The following is a 22,647-nucleotide window of genomic DNA, read 5'->3' as shown; positions in this document are numbered from 1 at the left end:
ATTATTTATGCAGCAATAGATGACCAAATTCAGATTGTGGCACTCAAATGTAGGATGCTGTGATAAAAGACAGGTATTAATAGAAAAATGTGCTTAAAGGCCTGGGTAATCCAGCTAAAAAATTTTGTAGCCAAAGTATTAAAAGGGTCCCCTCAGTTTTTCCTTGCTGCCTCTAAGGAATTGTGAGAGGAGAAAGAGGGATAAACTAAAGGAAGGACTGTTGAACAAAAAAAAGGCCATTATCATGCTAATACTATGCTAATAAATATATAAAGAAAATAGATGACATGACAAATTCATTACAAATATGTAATAAATAGAATATTTTAACAGACTAATTAGAATTAAGTAAATTTAAATTGTAGCTAAAGACATGTTTTCCATCTCAGAAGCAGCCTCCCACCAATAGAAATTAATAGTAATAATTATCATTGTATTAATAGTTTTTTTTTTTTTTTTTTTGAGGCGGAGTCTCACTCTGTCGCCCAGGCTGGAGTGCAGTGGGGCTATCTCAGCTCACTGCAAGCTCCGCCTCCTGGGTTCATGCCATTCTCCTGCCCCAGCCTCCCAAGTAGCTGGGACTACAGGCGCCCGCCATCACGCCCAGCTAATTTTTTGTGTTTTTAGTAGAGATGGGGTTTCACCGATAAATAGTTTTATAAATGAGAATTACCAAACTATCCAGAATATTTTTTTTTTACTAGGGATACCATAATAAATGACCACCTACTGGGTGGCTCAAAACAAGAGAAATTTAGTCTTTCAAAGATCTAGAGCTAGAAGTCTAAAAGAAAGATCTTGGCAAGACCACGCTGCCTCTCCTTCTGGTGGTTGCTGGATATTTCTTGTATTGCATCTTCTGAATTCCAAACTCTTCCTGTTGTGACATGGTCATCTTCCTTTCGTGCGTTCATGTCCTCACACAGCATTCTCCTCGATATGCATTTGTCTGTTCGCCTCTTAAAATAACATCAATCAGGGTAGATTAGGTCCACCCTGATGACCTCATATTAACTATATCTGTAATGTCTTTATTTCCAAATAAGGTCATATTCATAGGTACTTGAGGTTAGGATATCAACGTATCCCTGTGGGGGGGCACACAATTCAACCCATATTAATATGCCTGCTAGATCCCCAACCCACATCTTTTCACATACAAAATACATTCACCCCATCCCAACATCCCCCAAAATCTTAACCCATCCTAATGTGACCTCTAACACCAAAATGTCTTCTAAATAAAAGTAACTCAACAACTCCCAAATCTCATCTTCTAAAACTTCAGAATCAGATATGGATGAGATGCTGGGTAATGTTCATTTTGGGGCAAAATTCCTCTTTATCTGTGGACCTCTGAAATAGAGAAAACAAATTACCTTTTTTACAAAATGCACTGGTGGAATAGGCATAGAATAGATATTCCCATTCCAAAAGGGAGAAATTCAAAAAAGAAAAAAAAGAAAGGGTCACATATCCCAAGCAAGTCTGTAACCTATCAGAGAAAATTCCATTAAAGTCTAAGTTCTGAGAATAATTCTCCGTGACTCTTTCCATTGAACCCACTGAGATGGCTCCCTATCCCCTTCTGGTATTCAATAGCAGTGGCCCTGCCCTCTTGATCCACAGTGGTAACCATCCCACCCTCCCAGACATTGAAAATCCCACTGGCATCTGAGCCACCCTTAAAAATTTTCTTATTTTTTTCTTGAAGGCTAACAGAGGTTGCTAGCCAAGCAGCTCTAGCTGCCCATTTTCTGTTTGTGGAACCAAAAAGTCCAACAGCCTTCCTGCCCTTTGTTCATTTCTATCATCTTTCATCCAAGGTGACCGTTTCTACTGAGATAGTTGATTGGATCCATGAGTCACACGCTTAATCTCTGTAGCAAAAATTTATTCAGACACACCTATGGTGTTTTCTCTCCAGAACATGCTTTCCCATTCTTTGAAATATGAATAGCTGAGAATTTTCCAAATCATCAAACTCTCAATTATTTTATAAATAGGGTTGCCTTTTCTCCGGTGTCCAAAACATGATCTTCATTTCCATCTGAGACCCCACCAGAACACCTTTAATGTCCAGATTTCTACCAACAGCCTCTTCAAGACAATCTAAACTTTTCTAGAATATGCTTCAAAAACACTTCCAGACTCTATTTACTACACAATTCCAAAGCCACTTGCACATTTTTAGATATTTGTTACAGCAGTATCCTACCTCCCAGTGCCAAAATCTGTATTAGTTTCCCAGGGCTCACATAATTAACTACCACATACTGAATGGCTTAAAACAACAGAAATGTATTCTCTCATAGTTCTGGAGGCTAGAAGTCCAAAATCAAGATGTCAGCAAGGCAATGATCTTTCTTGGCTTCTGATGGTTGTTGCAACCTTCGATATTCCTTGGCTTGTAGCTGCATAAATTTAATCTCTTCTTGGTTATCACATGGCTGTCTTCCTTTGTATATCTGTCTTCATGCAGCATTTTCATCGGTGTGTTTTTGAGTCCATTCTCATCCTCTTAAAAGGACACTAGTCACATTGGATGTGGACATACCCTAGGGACGTTATATTAACTTGATTACATCTGCAAAGACCTTATTTTCAAAATAGGTCACATTTATAGAACCCGGTGGTTAAGAATTAAACATTTTTTTGGCAGATATAATTCAGCCTAGAGAACATGCATTTTACACATTTCTTTTTTGGAAATTAAATAAAGAGAAAAAGCTGTCAAGATTAATTTAAAAGTCTAATATAATTTTTATTTTAAAATTATGTTCTATATAAGATTATGTAAAATATTGACTATACTAATTATATAAGAAAGTAAAATTTTAGCCACATTTTGCTTATTAATAGAAATGCTAAAATCTACAACAAAGCATTATTCAAACTAATCTAATAGTACATTTAGAAAAGTTATAATGCATTCTGATGAATTAGGGTTTATCACCAAACTTCAAAGACATCATTAGATAGGATAAAGGTTTAACTGAGGTAACAACAACAACAAAATTTCAGGGACTTACATAGATAGAAGTTTATTTTTATCTCATGGGAGATTCTGATTGGTTCAGGATGGTATGACATGTCAACACTTAATTTATGGCTTCTAAAGTCACTCCAGTTATTGTCATGTCTAGTCAAGAAGGGAGAAATGGTCAATGTCCAGGGCCACTGTTGTGTGTTGAGTTGGAGATAACCTGTAAGTCACTCACAATAACTTTACTATCATTCTATTTCCCATATTTAGTCATATAACTCTAATTAGCTGCAAGGAAGGCTTGCTTGAAATATAAGCTGTACCTGGATGACTTGTATCCACAGATGATAAACATTAGAGAATCCATTAGTATAATTCATTATAGTAATAGATTCCTGTAAAAAATAATTTCAATATTCAATATTCAAATAAATCTTTCTTTAAACATTTGGGACAAAAACATAATAATCTGTCAGCAACCTATAAAATCTAAAAAAAAATTTCTGAATGTAGTGAAGCTTATATAACAGAAATGTATGGTAAGTAGAAAACAATTGTGATCATTTCCTTTACTAATGAGAAAAAAGAATGCTGGCTATAACAATATTCTTTATTGGCATGCATGCTAAATACCCTATAACCTGATCAATTCTGTAGGAAAAGAAAGAGGAATGAGGTGTTAAGTATTGGAAGGAAAGTGATAATACTGTTATTATTGGCAGATGATATAATACCTATTTCAGAAAAAGATAGCAATACAACCAACAAAGTATTAGACATGGCTGCATAAACCATCATTAATTTATACAAATTAATAGTTGTTCTCAGCACCAAAAATAAATATAAAAGTGAAATATATAATTGATTATAACAATAAAACTACAAAGTACTAAGTTTAACCATGTGAATTTAACAATAACCAACCCTTTTATAAATAATAAAAATGATATATTCATATGGTTCAACCTACTATTTAGGAATCAACCAATCTAATAGTTAAGAATATCACGGATAATATTTTTAACTAATGGAGGACAGAGACTTTGTTGTTTAATATAGAGATATTTAATGAAATGACATGTAAATATGCCAATTATTTACATAATCCCCTATAAATGTAATGCAATCTCAGCCAAAATCTCTGATTAGTGTTATGAAGATATCAATAAAAATAACTGAAAAATTATATGGAAAATACAGATCAATGATTGTTCTCAAATTTGAAAAAGAAATACAAAAGGAGGAGATATAGCCTAGAGTATTCTGTGAACCCAAAGGAATAAAAAAAAGGATGACTCTCTGTTTGTCTGTTATTGGTGTACAAGAATGCTTGTGATTTTTGTACACTGATTTTGTATCCTGAGACTTTCCTGAACTTGCTTATCAGCTTAAGGAGATTTTGGGCTGAGACAATGGGGTTTTCTAGATATACAATCATGTCATCTGCAAACAGGGACAATTTGGCTTCCTCTTTTCCTAATTGAATACCCTTTATTTCCATCTCCTGCCTAATTGCCCTGGCCAGAACTTCCAACACTATGTTGAATAGGAGTGGTGAGAGAGGGCATCCCTGTCTTGTGCCAGTTTTCAAACGGAATGCTTCCAGTTTTTGCCCATTCAGTATGATATTGGCTGTGGGTTTGTCATAGATAGCTCTTATTATTTTGAGATAGGTCCCATCAATACCTAATTTACTGAGAGTTTTTAGCATGAAGCGTTGTTGAATTTTGTCAAAGGCCTTTTCTGCATCTATTGAGATAATCATGTGGTTTTTGTCTTTGGTTCTGTTTATATGCTGGATTACATTTATTGATTTGCGTATATTGAACCAGCCTTGCATCCCAGGGATGAAGCCCACTTGATCATGGTGGATAAGCTTTTTGATGTGCTGCTGGATTCGCTTTGCCAGTATTTCATTGAGGATTTTTGCATCAATGTTCATAAGGATATTGGTCTAAAATTCTCTTTTTTGGTTGTGTCTCTGCCCGGCTTTGGTATCAGGATGATGCTGGCCTCATAAAATGAGTTAGGGAGTATTCCCTCTTTTTCTATTGATTGGAATGTTTCAGAAGGAATGGTACCAGCTCCTCTTTGTACCTTTGGTAGAATTTGGCTGTGAATCCATCTGGTCCTGGACTCTTTTTGGTTGGTAAGCTATTGATTATTGCCACAATTTCAGAGCCTGTTATCGGTCTATTCAGAGATTCAACTTCTTCCTGATTTAGTCTTGGGATGGTGTATGTGTCAAGGAATTTATCCATTTCTTCTAGATGTTCTAGTTCATTTGCATAGAGGTGTTTGTAGTATTCTCTGATGGTAGTTCGTATTTCTGTGGGATTGGTGGTGATATCCCCTTTATCATTAATCATGAGTGAACTCCCATTCACAATTGCTTCAAAGAGAATAAAGTACCTAGGAATCCAACTTACAAGGGATGTGAAGGACCTCTTCAAGGAGAACTACAAACCACTGCTCAATGAAATAAAAGAGGATACAAACAAATGGAAGAACATTCCATGCTCATGGGTAGGAAGAATCAATATCGTGACAATGGCCATATTGCCCAAGGTAATTTATAGATTCAATGCCATCCCCATCAAGCTACCAATGACTTTCTTCACAGAATTGGAAAAAACTACTTTAAAGTTCATATGGAACCAAAAAGAGCCCACATAGCCAAGTCAATCCTAAGCCAAAAGAACAAAGCTGGAGGCATCATGCTACCTGACTTCAAACTATACTACAAGGCTACAGTAACCAAAACAGCATGGTACTGGTACCAAAACAGAGATATAGGCCAATGAAACAGAACAGAGCACTCAGAAATAATGCCGCATATCTACAACTATCTGATCTTTGACAAACCTGAGAAAAACAAGCAATGGGGAAAGGATTCCCTATTTAATAAATGGTGCTGGGAAAACTGGCTAGCCACATGTAGAAAGCTGAAACTGGATCCCTTCCTTACACCTTATACAAAAATTAATTCAAGTTGGATTAAAGACTTAAACGTTAGACCTAAAACCATAAAAACCCTAGAAGAAAAACTAGGCATGGTAATTCAGGACATAGGCATGGGCAAGGACTTCATGTCTAAAACACCAAAAGCAATGGCAACAGAAGCCAAAATTGACAAATGGGATCTAATTAAACTAAAGAGCTTCTGCACAGCAAAAGAAACTACCATCAGAGTGAACAGGCAACCTACAAAATGGGAGAAAATTTTCGCAACCTACTCATCTGACAAAGGGCTAATATCCAGAATCTACAATGAACTCAAACAAATTTACAAGAAAAAAACAAACAACCCCATCAAAAAGTGGGCGAAGGACATGAACAGACACTTCTCAAAAGAAGACATTTATGCAGCCAAAAAACACATGAAAAAATGCTCACCATCACTGGCCGTCAGAGAAATGCAAATCAAAACCACAGTGAGATACCATCTCACACCAGTTAGAATGGCAATCATTAAAAAGTCAGGAAACAACAGGTGCTGGAGAGGATGTGGAGAAATAGGAACACTTTTACACTGTTGGTGGGACTGTAAACTAGTTCAACCATTGTGGAAGTCAGTGTGGCGATTCCTCAGGGATCTAGAACTGGAAATACCATTTGACCCAGCCATCCCATTACTGGGTATATACCCAAAGGACTATAAATCATGCTGCTATAAAGACACATGCACACGTATGTTTATTGCGGCGTTATTCACAATAGCAAAGACTTGGAACCAACCCAAATGTCCAACAACGATAGACTGGATTAAGAAAATGTGGCACATATACACCATGGAATACTATGCAGCCATAAAAAATGAAGAGTTCATGTCCTTTGTAGGGACATGGATGAAATTGGAAATCATCATTCTCAGTAAACTATTTTAAGAACAAAAAACCAAACACCGCATATTCTCACTCATAGGTGGGAACTGAACAATGAGAACACAAGGACACAGGAAGGGGAACACCACACTCTGGGGACTGTTGTGGGGTGGGGGGAGGGGGGAGGGATAGCTTTAGGAGATATACCTAATGCTAAATGACGAGTTAATGGGTGCAGCACACCATCATGGCACATGTATACACATGTAACTAACCTGCACATTGTGCACATGTACCCTAAAACTTAAAGTATAATAATAAAAAAAAGGATGACATTGATGTAATGCAAAAGATACATTAAAGGATCAAAATAAACACCCCAAACACATGTGCACTCATGTATACACACACATGCACACATTCAGGAACGTGAGATTCAATAAAGGTGTAAAACAATTTAACGGAGAATGAATAATTGTTAGGTAAATGGTGCTGAAAAACCAGCTTACTTAAAAGGGGAAAACAAGGATAAGGATATCTCTACCTATCAAAATACACACAATGGTTTTTAGATAAATTAAGGGCATTAATTTTTTAAAACATTATTACATTTATAAATTTATTAAAAGACAATTCATCCTTACGGCCTAGGAATAAGAAAGGCCTTGTTAAACAAAACTCAAATTACAGGATATCTGTGGAACAATAACACATTTTATCACACTAAATAAGTATTTCTGTAAATTAAAAAATTATGTCAACAGGCATAAAATGTTATGAGGAATATTTCTATTGTACAAAATGGCAAGGTGTCTATTATCTAGAATCTGTAATCAAACCAACAAAAATAATCAAGATTACAACCAGAAAGTTTAAAAAATATGTATTTTATAGAAATGGAAATCCCAGTTCTAAAAAGAATAGACAGAAGGCACAAAGTCATTTTCACACATTAGACTGCCAACCATTAGAAAGTTGGCATGGTGGATGCTATGAATTGGCTCTTTCAAAATCCTTTTCATACATGGTTTTAATGTGCTTTTTTGCATTATAGAGGCCAGAAAACCCCTATTTTCCCCATACTCCTTTGCAGCTAAGATTCTAGAAACAAATTGTATGTTAGGTGAATGCTCATAAAATTGGTAAATAGAAAATGACAAAGACCTTCTTCTTGCCTTTTTTGCTATTTTCTGCTAGCAGAAATCAGTCCAGAGATCTGAGCTACTCCTGCAGTGATGATTGATTCTCCAGCATTCTGAGTGTCACTTAGGAGATACCAAGACGTATTTGTATCTGTAGTGATAGTGAGAGCTCCTTTCTAGTTGTAGTTTCCTTAACTTAGCAGCTGCATCATATGTTGTTAAGCTCAAAAGTTCCATGGTGGTCTCAAGGTTGAAACTCTCTTTAGAAGATATTTGATTATTTTTTTCTGACATAATTCTTAGAGGCCCAGTCTAGACTTGCTTTTGCATCCCATCCACTGATTTTTTTAAACCAAGTACTTACTTGTATTAAACCCCTTTATAAAACATACAAATTGGTAAGTATTTTCAGCATTTAGAGTTTTTGGAAGCCACTGAATAATGCTGAGTTTGGTAGATGATGAAGATAAACAAGCCTCATGTATTTCTAGAGGGGAGTGTAGAGACATTTTGGAGAGCCATTCATCAGTATCTAAACAAGTATGTAAATAACACATTCAAACTCATTCTCATTCTGGTTTCAGGTGTATAAGCCAAATATATACTCATACAACTTTTTAAGAAGATGTTGGCAGAAATATATTGCAATGATATTTGTGGTGGGTGGGAAGCTGGAAGCCAAATTGTTATCCATTAATAAGAAAGTGATTAAGTAAATTGCAGTATATTCTCACCCTGTAGAACCACACAACAATAGGAAGAAATAAACTAGATGTTTCCGTGCCAATATAGGAATACCAAGAAAACATATTTGTTTCTTTAGATAACACAATACGACTTAGGCAACCACTATTTTGCACACAAAACAATAAAACAAATCTATGAAACACACATCAATAAAAGATATCTATCCAATGCATTAAAATTTGGCTTTGTTAGAGTAAGGATAATGGAAACTGAAAAGTAGAAATAAACTGAATTTTTAAAAACTGCCTTGAGGAAAGGCTTCAAGATGGCTGACTAGAAGCATTTTAGGCTCACTTCTACTTAGAAGAACTGAAATAGTATACGGATAAGCACAATTAAAACACATTATTCAAGAGAGAAAACTCTCTCTTTTCTCTTAAAAAAGTGAGAGAAAATATGAAAAGCAAGGAAAGAGAAAGAAGAAAGGCAGCCTGCTTGGCTGGGGTTGTCTAGGGGCAGGAATTGGGTGGGAGCCAGGAGTGAGTTCTCCATGCTAGAATGGGTAAGTGAGAGGCTTCTAGCAGCTTATATTCCCACAGTGGAATCATCCAATCTTAGCCATGGGAAAGTCCCTCTAGCCCTCTAAGCCCTGAAACTAACACAAGAAGCTGTCAGGGGATCGTAGAATGAAGCTAACCCAGGGAGGGCGCTCATGCTGGGTCCTACACCCTTTCTGACATCTAAGTGGCTAGAGCAAGGCACCATTTTCTTACCTAGCACTTGGATGACTGCACAGTGTCCTGGGGCTTAGCAGTGCTTGGAGTGAGGTGTTAGGGAAACTCACAGTGTCACTACTTAGAATAGATTGTGAGCTGTGAATGAGCCACTGCCCATGGCACACTGGCTGCCCAGTGGCCTGAGAACCCACCCACCTACCTGATCCACCACTGCCTGCCACTACCAGCATTCAAGCAAGCCACACATAGGCTCGAAATTTGGCTCTCCAGTAATCGCCAACATGGGGGCTAGTGTAAACTGCCTTGGGGTACAATGCTAATGGCATTGGGGCATGCTCAACCCACCTTTGTTACCACTGAGGCCTGAAGACTGACCTACCTAACATCCCAGTCCCTAGCACAACTTCACCACAGCCTCCACTAATAATCACAACTTAAGAGGAAATCACAGGTAGAAGTAACACTGTTTACTGCCAAAGAAATCATACAGAGACTACAGTATTGCACATAGCCAGAATCAAAGCCAAGGTGTCCTACTCACCGTACCATGAATACAGAAAAAAAGTACTCCTCTACAAAGTAAATTCAAAAATAGAAAAAGGTGACTGATACATCTGATGTGCAGATATCAACATAAGCAAATAGGAAACATGAAAAAGCAAGGAAATATGACAATTCTAAATAAACAATAATTCTTTAGCAATACACTTTAATCAAAAATAAATTTTTCAAACTCCAAATTAAAAAATCACAATGCTGATTTTAAATAAGCTCAGTGAGAAAAAAAAATCTGAAAAATTATGTGAAGAAATCAGAAAATCCGTTCATAATATTAATGAGAAATTCACTAAAGAGATAGATATTTTTGAAAAGAACCAAATAAAAATATGGAATTGAAGAATTCATTGAAAGAAATACAAAATATAGGTTGGGTGCAGGGGCTCACACCTGTAATCCCAGCACTTTGGGAGGCCGAGGCAGATGGATCACTTGAGGTCAGGAGTTCGAGACCAGCCTGGGCAATATGGCGAAACCCCATCCCTACTAAAAATACGAAAATTAGCTGGGTGTGGTGGCGCGTGCTTGTAATCCCAGCTACTCAGGAGGCTGAGGCAGGAGAATTGCTAGAACCCGGGAGATGGAGGTTGCAGTGAGCTGAGATTGGGCCACTGAACTCCAGCCTGGGTGTCAGAGTGAGACTCCATCTCAAAAAAAAAAATTAATAAATAAAAAATAAAAAAAATAAAAAATATATATAAAAAATCAAAAACTTCAACAGTAGACTAGATTAAGAGCAGAAAGAATTTCAGAACTTGAAGACAGTTCTTCTGAAATAATCCAGCTAGACAAAAAAATAAGGCAGAAAGAATAAAAAAGAATGAGGAAATCCTTTGTGATTTGGTATGACATAAAGTGACCAAATATTTGAATTATTGGTACCTCTCAGAATGAAGAGAAAATAAAAGAATTATAAAATCAATTTAACAAAATAATAGATGAAAATAGCCCAAGTTTGGCAAGAAATTTAGACATTCAGATATGTTATTTTGAGATCTAACATTTTGAAGTAGGCACATAGCACTAAAGACATGAAAACACACTCCTCAAAAGAAGACATATAAGAAGCAAACAAACATATGAAAATATGTTCAGTAACACTAATCATAAGAAAAATGCAAATTAAAACCACAATAAGATAACATCTCACACCAGTCAGAATGGCTATTATTTAAAGGTCAGAAAACAACAGGTGCTGGCAAGGCTGCAGAAAAAAGGGAATGCTTAGACATTTTTGGTGGGAATGTCAATTAGGTCAGCTATTATGGAAAGCAGTTTGGAGATTTATCAAAGAACTTAAAACAGAATTACCATTTGGCCACCCATTCTATTACTGGGTATATTTCCAAAAGAAAATGAATCATTTTACTAATAAGACACATGCATTCACATGTTTATTGCAACACTAATCACAATAGCAAAGACATGGACTCAACTTAGGTGCCCATCAATGGTGAACTGGATAAATGAAATGGTATGCATATACACCATGAAACACTACACAGCCATCACAAAGAATAAAATCATGTCATTTGCAGTATCACAGATGCAGCTGGAGGCCATTATCCTAAGTGAGTTAACATGGAAACAGAAAACCAAATGCTGCATGCTCTCACTATAAGTGGGAGCTAAACACTGGATACTCAGGGCACAAAGATGACAAAAATAGATACTGGAGACTACTAGAGGGAGGGATGAAGGGGGAGAGAGAAGGCTGAAAAACACATTGTTGAGTAGTATGCTCACTACCTGAGTTATGGGATCAATCGTACCCCAAACTTCAGCATCATGCAATATACCTATGTAACAAACCTGTACATGTACCCACTGAATAGAAAATAAAACTTATTTATAAGAAATAAATATTTTTAAAAGAATCAACAAAATGATAAGTGGATTCTTTGAAAAGATAGACAAAATAGATAAACTGCTAGCTAAACTAATAAAGCTGAGAGAGGGCTCAAATAAACAAAATCAGAAATGATAAAGGAGACATTACAGCTGATGCTACAGAAATAAAGAGATCATCAGAGACTATTATGAACAACTATACTTTGGCAAACTGGAAAACCGAGAGGAAATAGATAAAGTATTGGAAATACACAACCTACCAAGATAGAATCGAGAAGAAACAGAAAACCTGAACAGACCAATAACAAGTAGCAGGGTTGAATTAGGAATAAACAATCTTCTAACAAAGAAAATCCCAGCACCAGATGGTTTCACTGCCAAATTCCACCAAATTTACAAAGAATTAATACCAATCTTCCTGAAACTATTCCAAAAAATTCCCCCTTGAAGAGGAGGGAATCCCTCTAACTCATTCTATGAGAGCAGCATCACCCTGATATTAAAACCAGACAAAGACACAGCAACAACAAAAGAAAACTATAGACTAATATTACTGATGAACATGCACAAAAATTCCTCAACAAAATATAAGCAAACAAAATCCAACAACATATTAAAAAGATAAGATAACACAATTGAGTGAGATTTATCCCAGGGATGCAAGGATGGTTCAACATATGCAAATCAATAAATGTAATACATCACATCAACAGAATGAAGAAAAAAATATGATAATCTCAATAGACAAAGAGCAAGCATTTGATAAAATTCAACAATCCTTCAGGATAAAAACTCTCAAAAACTAAACATAGAAAAAAACACCTCACAATAATAAAGGCCATATATGACAAACCCACAGCTAACATCAAACTGAATGGGAAACGTTGAAAGCCTTTCCTCTAACAAATGGAACAAGATAAGGGTGCCCACTTTCACCATGCCTATTCAACGTAGTATTAGAAGTCCTAGCCAATCAGGCAAGAAAAATAAGTAAAAGGAATCCAAATTGGAAAAGAAGAATTCAAATTGTTCCTCTTTGCTAATAATATGATCTTTTATTGAGAACAACCTAACAACTCTACCAAAAAGCTCTTAGATTTGATAAATGGATTCAGTAAGTTTGCAGAATACAAAATCAATATACAGAAATCAGTAGCATTTCGGCCGGACGTGGTGGCTCACACCTGTAATCCCAGCACTTTGGGAGGCCGAGGCGGGTGGATCCTGAGGTCAGGAGATCTAGACCATCCTTGCAAACATGGTGAAACCCTGTCTCTACTAAAAATACAAAAAATTAGCCGGGCGTGGTGGCGGGCACCTGTAGTCCCAGCTACTCGGGAGGCTGAGGCAGGAGAATGGCGGGAACCCAGGAGGTGGAGCTTGCAGTGAGCCGAGATCGCGCCACTGCACTCCAGCCTAGGTGACAGAGCGAGAGTTCTTCTCAAAAAAAAAAAAAAAAAAAAAAAAAAAGTAGCATTTCTATATACCAATAGTCATCTATCTGAAAAAGAAATCAGGAAGCCAATGACTTTTATAATAGCTATAAAAATTAAAGCCCCTAGGACTAAATTTAAGATCTCTACAAGGAAAATTACAAAACATTGATTAAATAAATAGAAGAGAACAAAAATGAAAAAATCCCATCCTCAAAGATCAGAAGAATATCACGAAAATGACCATATTTCCCAAAAAAACCACAGATTATGCAATCCCTATCAAAATACCATCATTCTTCACAGAATTTTTGTACAAAGTTCTAAAATTCATATAGAGTGAAATAAAAGCCTGCATAACCAAGTAATCCTGAACAAAAGGAACAATGCTGAAGGCATCACATTACCTGACTTTAAAATATATTACAAAGCTATACTAACCAAAACACATGGTATTGGTTTAAAAATAGACATATATCCCACTGGAACAAAATAGAGAACCCAGAAACACAGTCACATATTTACAGCCAACTGATCTTGAACAAAGCTGACAAGAATTTATATTGGGGGAAGGACACCTTCTTGAATAAATGGTGCTGGGAGAACTGGATAGCCACATGCAGAAGAAAGAAACTAGATCCCTATCTCTAACCATATACAAAAATCAACAAAAATGGATTAAAAACTTAAATGTAAGACCCAAAACTATAAAAATACTGGAAGAAAACCTAGGGAAATCTCTCTTGGGCATTGGTCTAGGCAAAGAATTTATGACTAAGATTTCCAAAGCAGAGACAACAAAAACAAAAATGGACAAATGAGACTTAAACTAAAGAGCTTCTGCACAACAAAAGAAATAATGAACAGTGTGAAGAAACCTATTGAATGGGAGAAAATCTTTGCAAACTAAACACATGACAGCAGACCAATATCCAGAATATACAGGGAAATCAAGCAACTCGACAGAAAAAAAAAGATGAAACCCATCTCTACTAAAAATACAAAAATTAGCTGGGTGTGGCGGCATGTGCCTGTAATCTCAGCTACTCAGGAGACTGAGACAGGAGAAACGCTTGAACCTGGGAGGCAGAGGATGCAGTGAGCCAAGATCGCGCCATTGCACTCCAGCCTGGGCAACAAGAAAGAAATTCTGTCTCAAAAAAGAAAAAAGAAAAAAAGTGTGCAAAGGACATGAATACATATTTCTCAAAAGAAGACATGCCCATGGCCAAGAGTTATATGAAAAATTCTCAGTGTCACTAATCAGATAAATTCAAATCAAAACCACAAGGAGGTATCATCTTACCCCAATCAAAGTGGCCATTATTATAAAGACAAAAAATAATGAATGTTGGCAAGGATGCAGAGAAAAGGGAGCACCCATACACAGTTGGTAGGTATGTAAACTAGTAAACCACTATACAAAACAGGATGGAAATACCTCAAAACACTAAAAATGGAACTATCATTTGATCCAGCAATCCTATTACTGATATCTACCCAAAGGAAATCAGTATACCACAGGAATACCTGTATTTGCATGTTTATTATGGCACTATTTATAATAACAAAGGTAGATAACAAAGATAAGTGTCCATCAGTGAATGAATGTTTAAAGAAAATGTGGTATATACACAATGGAATACTATTTGTCCATAAAAAGAAAGAAAACATGCCATTTGACATAACATTGATGGAACTGGAGGTCATTATCTTTAGTGAACTAAGCCAGGCACAAAAAGGCAAATATTGTATGTTCTCACTTATATGCTGGAGTGAAAATATTTGATCACATGGAGGTAGAGAGTGGAAAGAAAGATAATAGAGATTGGGAGGAGTGAGTTGGGGGAAGGGGGAGTATAAAGAGAAATGAGTTAAAGGGTATAAACATGCAGTTAGATGGGATTGATTCAATGTTTGATAGCAGGGTAGATTATAGTTAACAAAATGTATTCAGACGATGGACGCCCTAAATATTCTGACTTGTTTACTACACACTATACACATGTAAGAAAATTCACATGAACCCCACACGACAATGTGTACAAATAAAAATTCACAGGTACCCCATACATGAAAATGTGTACAAATAAAAATTAAACTGAATGAAATAAAAATGAATTGATGGATTTATTTATCAGAACATAAGTATGATCTTACACATATTTAGGAGTACACTTATGTATCCCTTTATACCTAAAGTCAAATAATGAGAATTCTACATACCTAGCACAGAGTAGTTACATACTAAAACAGAGTTATAGTACATATTGAGGTTGTGTGCATAGAATTAATATACTATTCCCCATTGCAGAACATCCTTGTAGTCATATGAGATAGACAATTTCTCTATAATGGGGAAGTATATCTGTTCAATGCAAACAGGATATTCCATTCCCCCTTACCATGATGACCACTGAAGCTAATCCAAGTCTATGTGCTTTACGCTTGGCTACAGGATGGTTTCATGGCTATTTCAACCTATTGGAAACTCAGGATTTATGCTGTGAACTCTGGGTCACAGATTTCCCGAAACTGCCATTGACCTTTTGCAAGCACAAGGCATGCCCACAGTAAATCTGGCACACTTGAGGACAAATCTAGGAAACTCACAAGAACAGTGACTCTGGACTTTTATGTTTTCATCAGCCAATACATTTCTTTTAATGTTTAAAGCAGTTTGAATTGAATTGCATGAAAGAGAGAACAGCTTAATTTATCCAGCAAATACATATTACTTGGTCTCTGGTTCTTTTGTTCTTCCTCTCACTATCCACTGGTATGTGTGTTTGTACATAAGTGTGTTGATAGGTGCACGCATATATACTTATAGGCAGCAGTGAGACTGTGTAGTACAGACAGTACCAACCTTGATGTCTGAAGAACAGGCTCTGACATGCTGCTACATTTCTTACTGCTTTTGCAATTGTAAAAAAAAAATTATAATTACTTGTAGATTCTCTGTGTTCTCATTGGGGAAAACAGACTAAAATCACCGATTTCTTATGTGAATAGGACTGTTTTAAGGTTCCAGTACAATCGTATCAGTGAAAGGGTGTTTTAAACTCCCGGCTATTCCATAAGTACAGCTATTATTGTTACCTTGTGTATGATGCATCTATAAGGACATTTTAAAAAGTAAAATCCTCAGTGTCCTTGAGTTTATCTTGTACTCAACTCAACTTCCTTCATTTTCAGTATAGCACAAGGGAAGGACAAAATGTCATTCCTAACTTTGGATTCCCTATCTTTTGTCAGTGTGTTTCACAACCTTAACTTCATTTCAGTATCGTTCAGTGGTAAATTTCTATATATAAAACTGCACCTTCAAGTTGCTTAAAGATATCACATAATTGGATGTACCTTTAACCTAATGGTTTAAAATCCCAAAGGAATGGTGTGCACACAACATCTTATAGTATTAAATAGCCTGAGATCAAATAAAATGCAATGAGCAATGTCTGCTCTTACTGAACTGGAAATGTTGTTAGTGAGACACTGGACAAAGATGACAGGACTAACCTCAAGAAACATAATGAGGGAGTTTTATCAAGCTGAACCTTTTAAAATGTTTGAACTTCATAAAAACCTGCAGGCATGACAGATTAAATGTAATGCTTACCTCTGATTCTGAGCTGCAGCTTATATCGTCTAATTCCTGTAAAGAAGAACAGATGTGCTGTTAGAAGGTTTTGATTTGTGTTTTTATTTTTCAAAACCCATCTAGCATAGTGCAGTTTTTCCATTTGGGGGATGGTGGAAAGCTTTGTTTTCTTGCTCAAGCATGTCAAAAATGGGAAAACAAGTCTCACTCATCTCCATCCTATTAAAAAGAGAAGCACAAGACAATGTGTGCTTTAAAAATGGGTGAAAAGACACTGATCTATTCAAATATATCTTCAAATATTTAGGGCAAGAGAAAAACATTACCTTAGCAAGTTTCAAAACATAACAATTGTGAGTTTCAGCTTGTATCCGCGTTATAGTGGCAACAATGTGAGAAGTCAATAGGCACCTGGAACAAGTAAACAGGGTAAAGATACTGCAGGCACCCCACTTCCGAGCAAGCCTATTGCTCCTATAAATCATAGACACTCTGCTTTAAGGATACATGTTATTATTTTTAATAGGGTGATTTCTTTAGCAAAACATAGAAGTCTAGACTTTAGCACATATAAAAAATGTAATTTACAAGCTTGGTCTTGTCATTTCTGTTGATGACAGTTTCCTGAGAGCCTCACAAATCAAACAGTTCACAGACACAAATTTAAATAAAGTAAACATGAATAATGCAACAAAGCTTACATAGCGTCATGAATAACAGGGGTTCTATTAGGATTAGAGTTACGTAGCTGCAAGTAATAAAACAGTACAGAGAAGTGTCATAAGTAGAATTTTTCTGAATAATCCAATTTAATCCATATATTAAAATTATGAAACAGAGAATCTCCAGCTCTCTTCACATGATACAACAAAAATAAATGAAAAGTAAAATATCCAGCTTTCATAGACATTTTTTTCTTCCTGTAACAAAACGACTTTGAATGTTACTTTTTTAAAAAATAAAATCACCAGTTTCTTTTGGTAATATGTGGATACAGCTTTTGACCATGTGTATGCATTCTATTGAGAATGATCATTTTTAATTGTAAACAACCATGAATATAGGTAAAGTATAATTTAGCCAGAAAATAAAAAGCCATTTTTGTTACTGTTATCATTGCTGTTTAAACTCTTTATAAGAGGGCTAAAATCTATTTTGAGTGATATTGAGGAAAACAATAAATGTTTTCATGGATTGTTCAGATATGGATAATATCTGATAGTTCAGATCATGGATAATATATTTGATTTTATTCTATGAGACCCCACTATCTTTGGATTACAATACTACAGAAATGCATGAGACTGAACAGGCAGTTTGTCGTGACAGTGCTACCACTTGAGATGGTTAATTGCATACATGCTGTCAATGCATGATATGAATTATGAGCCCAATATCTGTCGACTTGGCAACCCCAGTTCCCTACAAAATGGAACAATCACTAATTACTCCAGAAATAGTTGCTAAATAAAAATTTCTTAAACTACATAATTGAAAGCTGCTTACATACAGCAGTGTGATGGTCTAGAGCATAGGGATTAAAAAGTTTTGGCATTAAAAAGGCTTGGCTCTGAGACCATTTACCAGCCACATGATTTTAGACAAATTTTCCAAGTGGTTATTTGTCATTTTATTAATCTAGCATCTACCGTCTACCATGTACCACATAGGGTTGCTAGGGAAATCAAATAATACATTTAAAGTGCTTTGCACTGTACACTCCAACAAAGGTTAGCTGTAATTAAGAATAATTACTATTAGTAGTAAATCAGTTCTCCCTAGTCTTCTAATAAAGCTATTAATTATTAGATTTCATGATTATTAATAACTTATTCCTTATCTAAGCCTGACTTCAACACAGAGAAGGTTTATCTTAGAAGGTGGACTATCATCTGATAAAGAGAAAGAAAAACCTCATTAACCACTTTCACACAGTCATAGAAATTGGTTAGATCTACAAAACAGCAATTAAATGAGCATTTACATTTTGCCTGTTCTGAGTTCACAGTCTGAGTAGCCCTCATTCCACACACAAGCATATATGTTCTACAGATAAATTGTGAGACAAAGGCACTTGATGAGACATTTTAGGATTAAAAGCAACGATTGTCAGAAAGGATACCATTATGATGACAAAAAGCTCAGATGACTTTTATATTTGCCTTTTCAAATATATAATACAGTCATACGGATTAAAGTCCAAAAACATAACAAAAGTATAGAAAAATCTTCCCCATCCTTGTCCTCCATCTGCTCAGTTTCCACCCTGAAAAAAAAATAATCTTCCCACCAGGATCTAGTATTTAATATCTAGATTTCCTTTAGGCCAAAACATGAAAATATGAATATATATTATTATTTCCCATTCACGTACAAAAGATTATCTAACACTTATGGAGTGGTTTCTGTGTCATGTAATTTGTCAAGAAGTTTAAATTCTTCACTTCATGTCATTCTTACAGAAATCCAATGAGACACACTCAATGTTCATATGATTGTGGAGGTAAAATCTACCTGCATCTAAGCCATACATGAATATCTAACCCTACATGACATTGTCTACTGTGTCTAATCACCAACTAAAGTCCAACATGAATAGAAGAGAATACAAATGGCCTCCACCCCCAAATCTTGCTAAAGGGATAAATGTACTCAGACTAGGACCCTTAGGGCACAGCAGGTATATTAATAGAATTACCTTAAAAAGATGAAAACATTTGCATGTAAGATACATCCTGGAACCCTCTTATAATATAGGACAACTTCATTAATTAAAGCTTAGTCTTCATACATTGGCTGATTTTCTAATGAACTAGAGAAAAACACAAGATCACTACTAAATGAGGATTTTCCTTCTTTTTCTTTTCTAAATATACCTCAACAAACATTTTTCTCCTTGTTCTTATGTGCAATACTCAATGATTGGGAAAGGGAAACCTATTAACCTGAAGGGAAAATAGAAATTGGATAGGGAAGCTTGTTCTCTGTCTCTAGGCACACATTATAAGCAATGATCAATAAAATTAAATCTTACATGATAATCGGCAAACAGTGGTACCTTATGAGTAGGGGGTAAAAATGAAAATGTTAGCTATTGGAATAGCTTGAAAATAGATCCACAGATTTAAAAAAGGAGAAAGATAACATAATTAAAAACTATATTGTAGCAATTTGGAGAAAGCTATATTTTTAGTTACATTTCAAATATTTCACCAAAATCATAGTTTAAATTTCATCATGAGAATACTCACATATGCATTTTTCCCTACCCAAGACAGTCAGACTTCTCCATCAAGATTAGTTTCCCTCAGGGTGAATTTGTGACAAGGAGAGTGAAGATTATATAAAATGCTCCCATGATGCCTCTTTGAGTTGATGGAGAATTGAAATTATCAGACTTGTGTACACTCTCATGCTTTCAAAATTAGCCATTTTTATTTATGGTGTTATATTGCTTGAAGCAGTTTACATTTTCAATAAATAATTAAAATATATCTCTTCTACAACTTATCATTCTGCTTCTGGGAAAAATATTGCTAGGAAACAAATAGCACTTATATATTTTACCTTGGAGCTATAGGAGGAAAACTAAATATACAATAAGGAAAAACTAGGTCTTCACCAACTTTAAAAAAGAAAGGAAAACTACCTATTTGTCCTAGAGTCACCACTGCAGTTTCCTTCTGTTATGGACAGTGTTCTGAAATGTGTGCTACATGATCTAGGTTCCTGCTAACTGTATTTCCATTTGCCGTTTTTATTAATTCCTTGAAATCTAACATGAGCATTATTACTCCATGCAAACTCATTATGTTATGGTTTCAAATTGTTAACCTATTTCATCCCCACCAAATGACCTTCAATTCACACCACTCTGTTGAATTTACTCTTGTAGACATACGTAACTGATGGTGTTCTCACCTCTAAACTGAATGGCTTTTCTCACTCTTTATGCTCTATGAACTGTACTCCATCTCTAGATTTGTAATTGCCAAAATGGCATATCTCTTTAAATTTACGAGTGAATTTAACCAAACTTACTTTTAATTCAAACTGGCTTCTTTAACTAAACTTATTCAGTTTGTCTGTGATAACATCATTTGTCAGGGTATCCCAGGCTAAGCATGTGAATTAATCTTGACTATTTTTTGCTTTATCTTCTGTGACCTGTCAGTGTCAAATAATATTTTCCTTTGAAATATGTCTCCAAGTAATTCTCTCTTCTCAGTTTCTTACTACTCTCACTCTTCTGCAGGATAACACAAAACTCATGATTGCTTTTGGATCCCTCATTTTTCAAACTCCCTTACAGTCTCCAGTGTTTACTGCTATCAAGCAAACCTTCCTGACTGACAACTCTACAGTGGTTCTCAGTTGCTTCCTATATTAAAAAATTATCCTCCTTCACTGGTTCCATAATCTGGGAACCACCTTGCCTAGCAAATCAGTCTCTTGCTGATTTCAGCAGCCTGGTCTCTGCACATCATATATTATGTTTTTTAACATTATTTTGCTTGCCCTAAAGATTAAGTTTATACTCTCTAAGGGCAGACTCACCAGGATAGAGTCCTGGCTCTACCAATTGCATTTATATCACTTTCGGTGACAGTGTCTCTTTTTTTCGTCCATTAAGTAGGGTTGTGAAGATTAAAGGAGCTGATTTGTATAAAGCCCTGGCATATATTGATTCACAGATGTTAGCTACTATGATTAGATAAATCCTAGTTGTTTTCACAGTTTAGCTCAAACTTCAAAGAGCAAATTGACTTAAACCAGTTGGTCAACGTCTAAGATTACTGGCTCCTGAGGTGAACTGGCTGGATAAAAAATCTGGCTCTAATATTTTCTAAGCTGTGGCCAAGAGAAACTTCTTTAGCAGTGGTCTGTGACTCAGTTTTCTTATTTGTAAGATGGGGATAATATCAACATTAATCTTACAGGGTTTTTCTTTTTGTTTTGTTTTGTTTTGAGACAGGGTCTCACTCTGTTGCCTAGGCTGGAGTGCAGTGGTGCGATCATGGCTCATTGCAGCCTTGACTCCCAAGCTCAAGCAATCCTCCCACCTCAGTCTTCCCAGTAGCTGGAACTGCAGGCATGCACCACCACACGCAGCTAATTTTTTATATTTTTGTGGAGACAAGGTCTCACCATGTTGCCCAGGCTGATAACCACTGGGTTCAAGCAATCCTCCCGCCTTGGGATTATAGACATAAGCCAACTACCCAGCCTTAAAAGATTTTTTTCTAAAAGAAAAATAAGATTGCCCATGGGCTGAAATAAGTACCTGGTACTGTCCTAAATTTTTACTCCCATTTTTATATCTCATGATACCCAGCTCTATGTTAGTTTCTGGGCTTGTGTTTCTGTGAGGTCTATTTATTATTAAACTATGCCTTTCTTTAATCTAAGTTGAATTAATTGTTTCCTCTGCTCTGTAACAGCAAAAGACATACAAAAAATAATAATTTTTGCTGACTATGGATTCCGCCCTTAGTTGGAAGTATCACTATCAAAGTCAGGCCAGGTTTGCATTGATATTCAAAGAAAACATTTGGTGAACATTCATCATTATGTGATAGTATCTTAATATTGCATTTGTTTACTTCAACTTTTTACACACCTGTTCCCAATAATTTTCTAAGACAGGGTCAGCCAGCTATGACTGTGGCTCAGATATGATCTACTACCCACTATGTAAATAATGTTTAGATGGAAGACAACCATGCCCACTCATTTACACATTGTCTACAGGTGTTTTCACCCTATAAAAGTAGAGACAAGTCCTGTGACAGAGACTATTTATCCAGCAAGGCCCAAAATATTTA

At 35.8% G+C, this 22,647-nt stretch overlaps 1 long non-coding RNA gene across 1 annotated transcript in view; it reads right to left on the bottom strand.

Moving 5' to 3' along the window:
* Nucleotides 1-22,647, bottom strand: part of LINC01266 (long intergenic non-protein coding RNA 1266) — a 253,911-nt gene that overhangs the window by 78,925 nt on the left and 152,339 nt on the right. Inside the window, exon 2 of the long non-coding RNA NR_110118.1 lies at nucleotides 16,841-16,876. This is a non-coding gene — a long non-coding RNA (long intergenic non-protein coding RNA 1266). The remainder of the gene's footprint in view (nucleotides 1-16,840; nucleotides 16,877-22,647) is intronic.

The sequence above is a fragment of the Homo sapiens genome, chromosome 3 (assembly GCF_000001405.40).
Source record: "Homo sapiens chromosome 3, GRCh38.p14 Primary Assembly".
Classification (NCBI taxonomy): Eukaryota; Metazoa; Chordata; class Mammalia; order Primates; family Hominidae; genus Homo; species Homo sapiens.
This window is presented reverse-complemented; position numbering and strand designations above follow the sequence as displayed.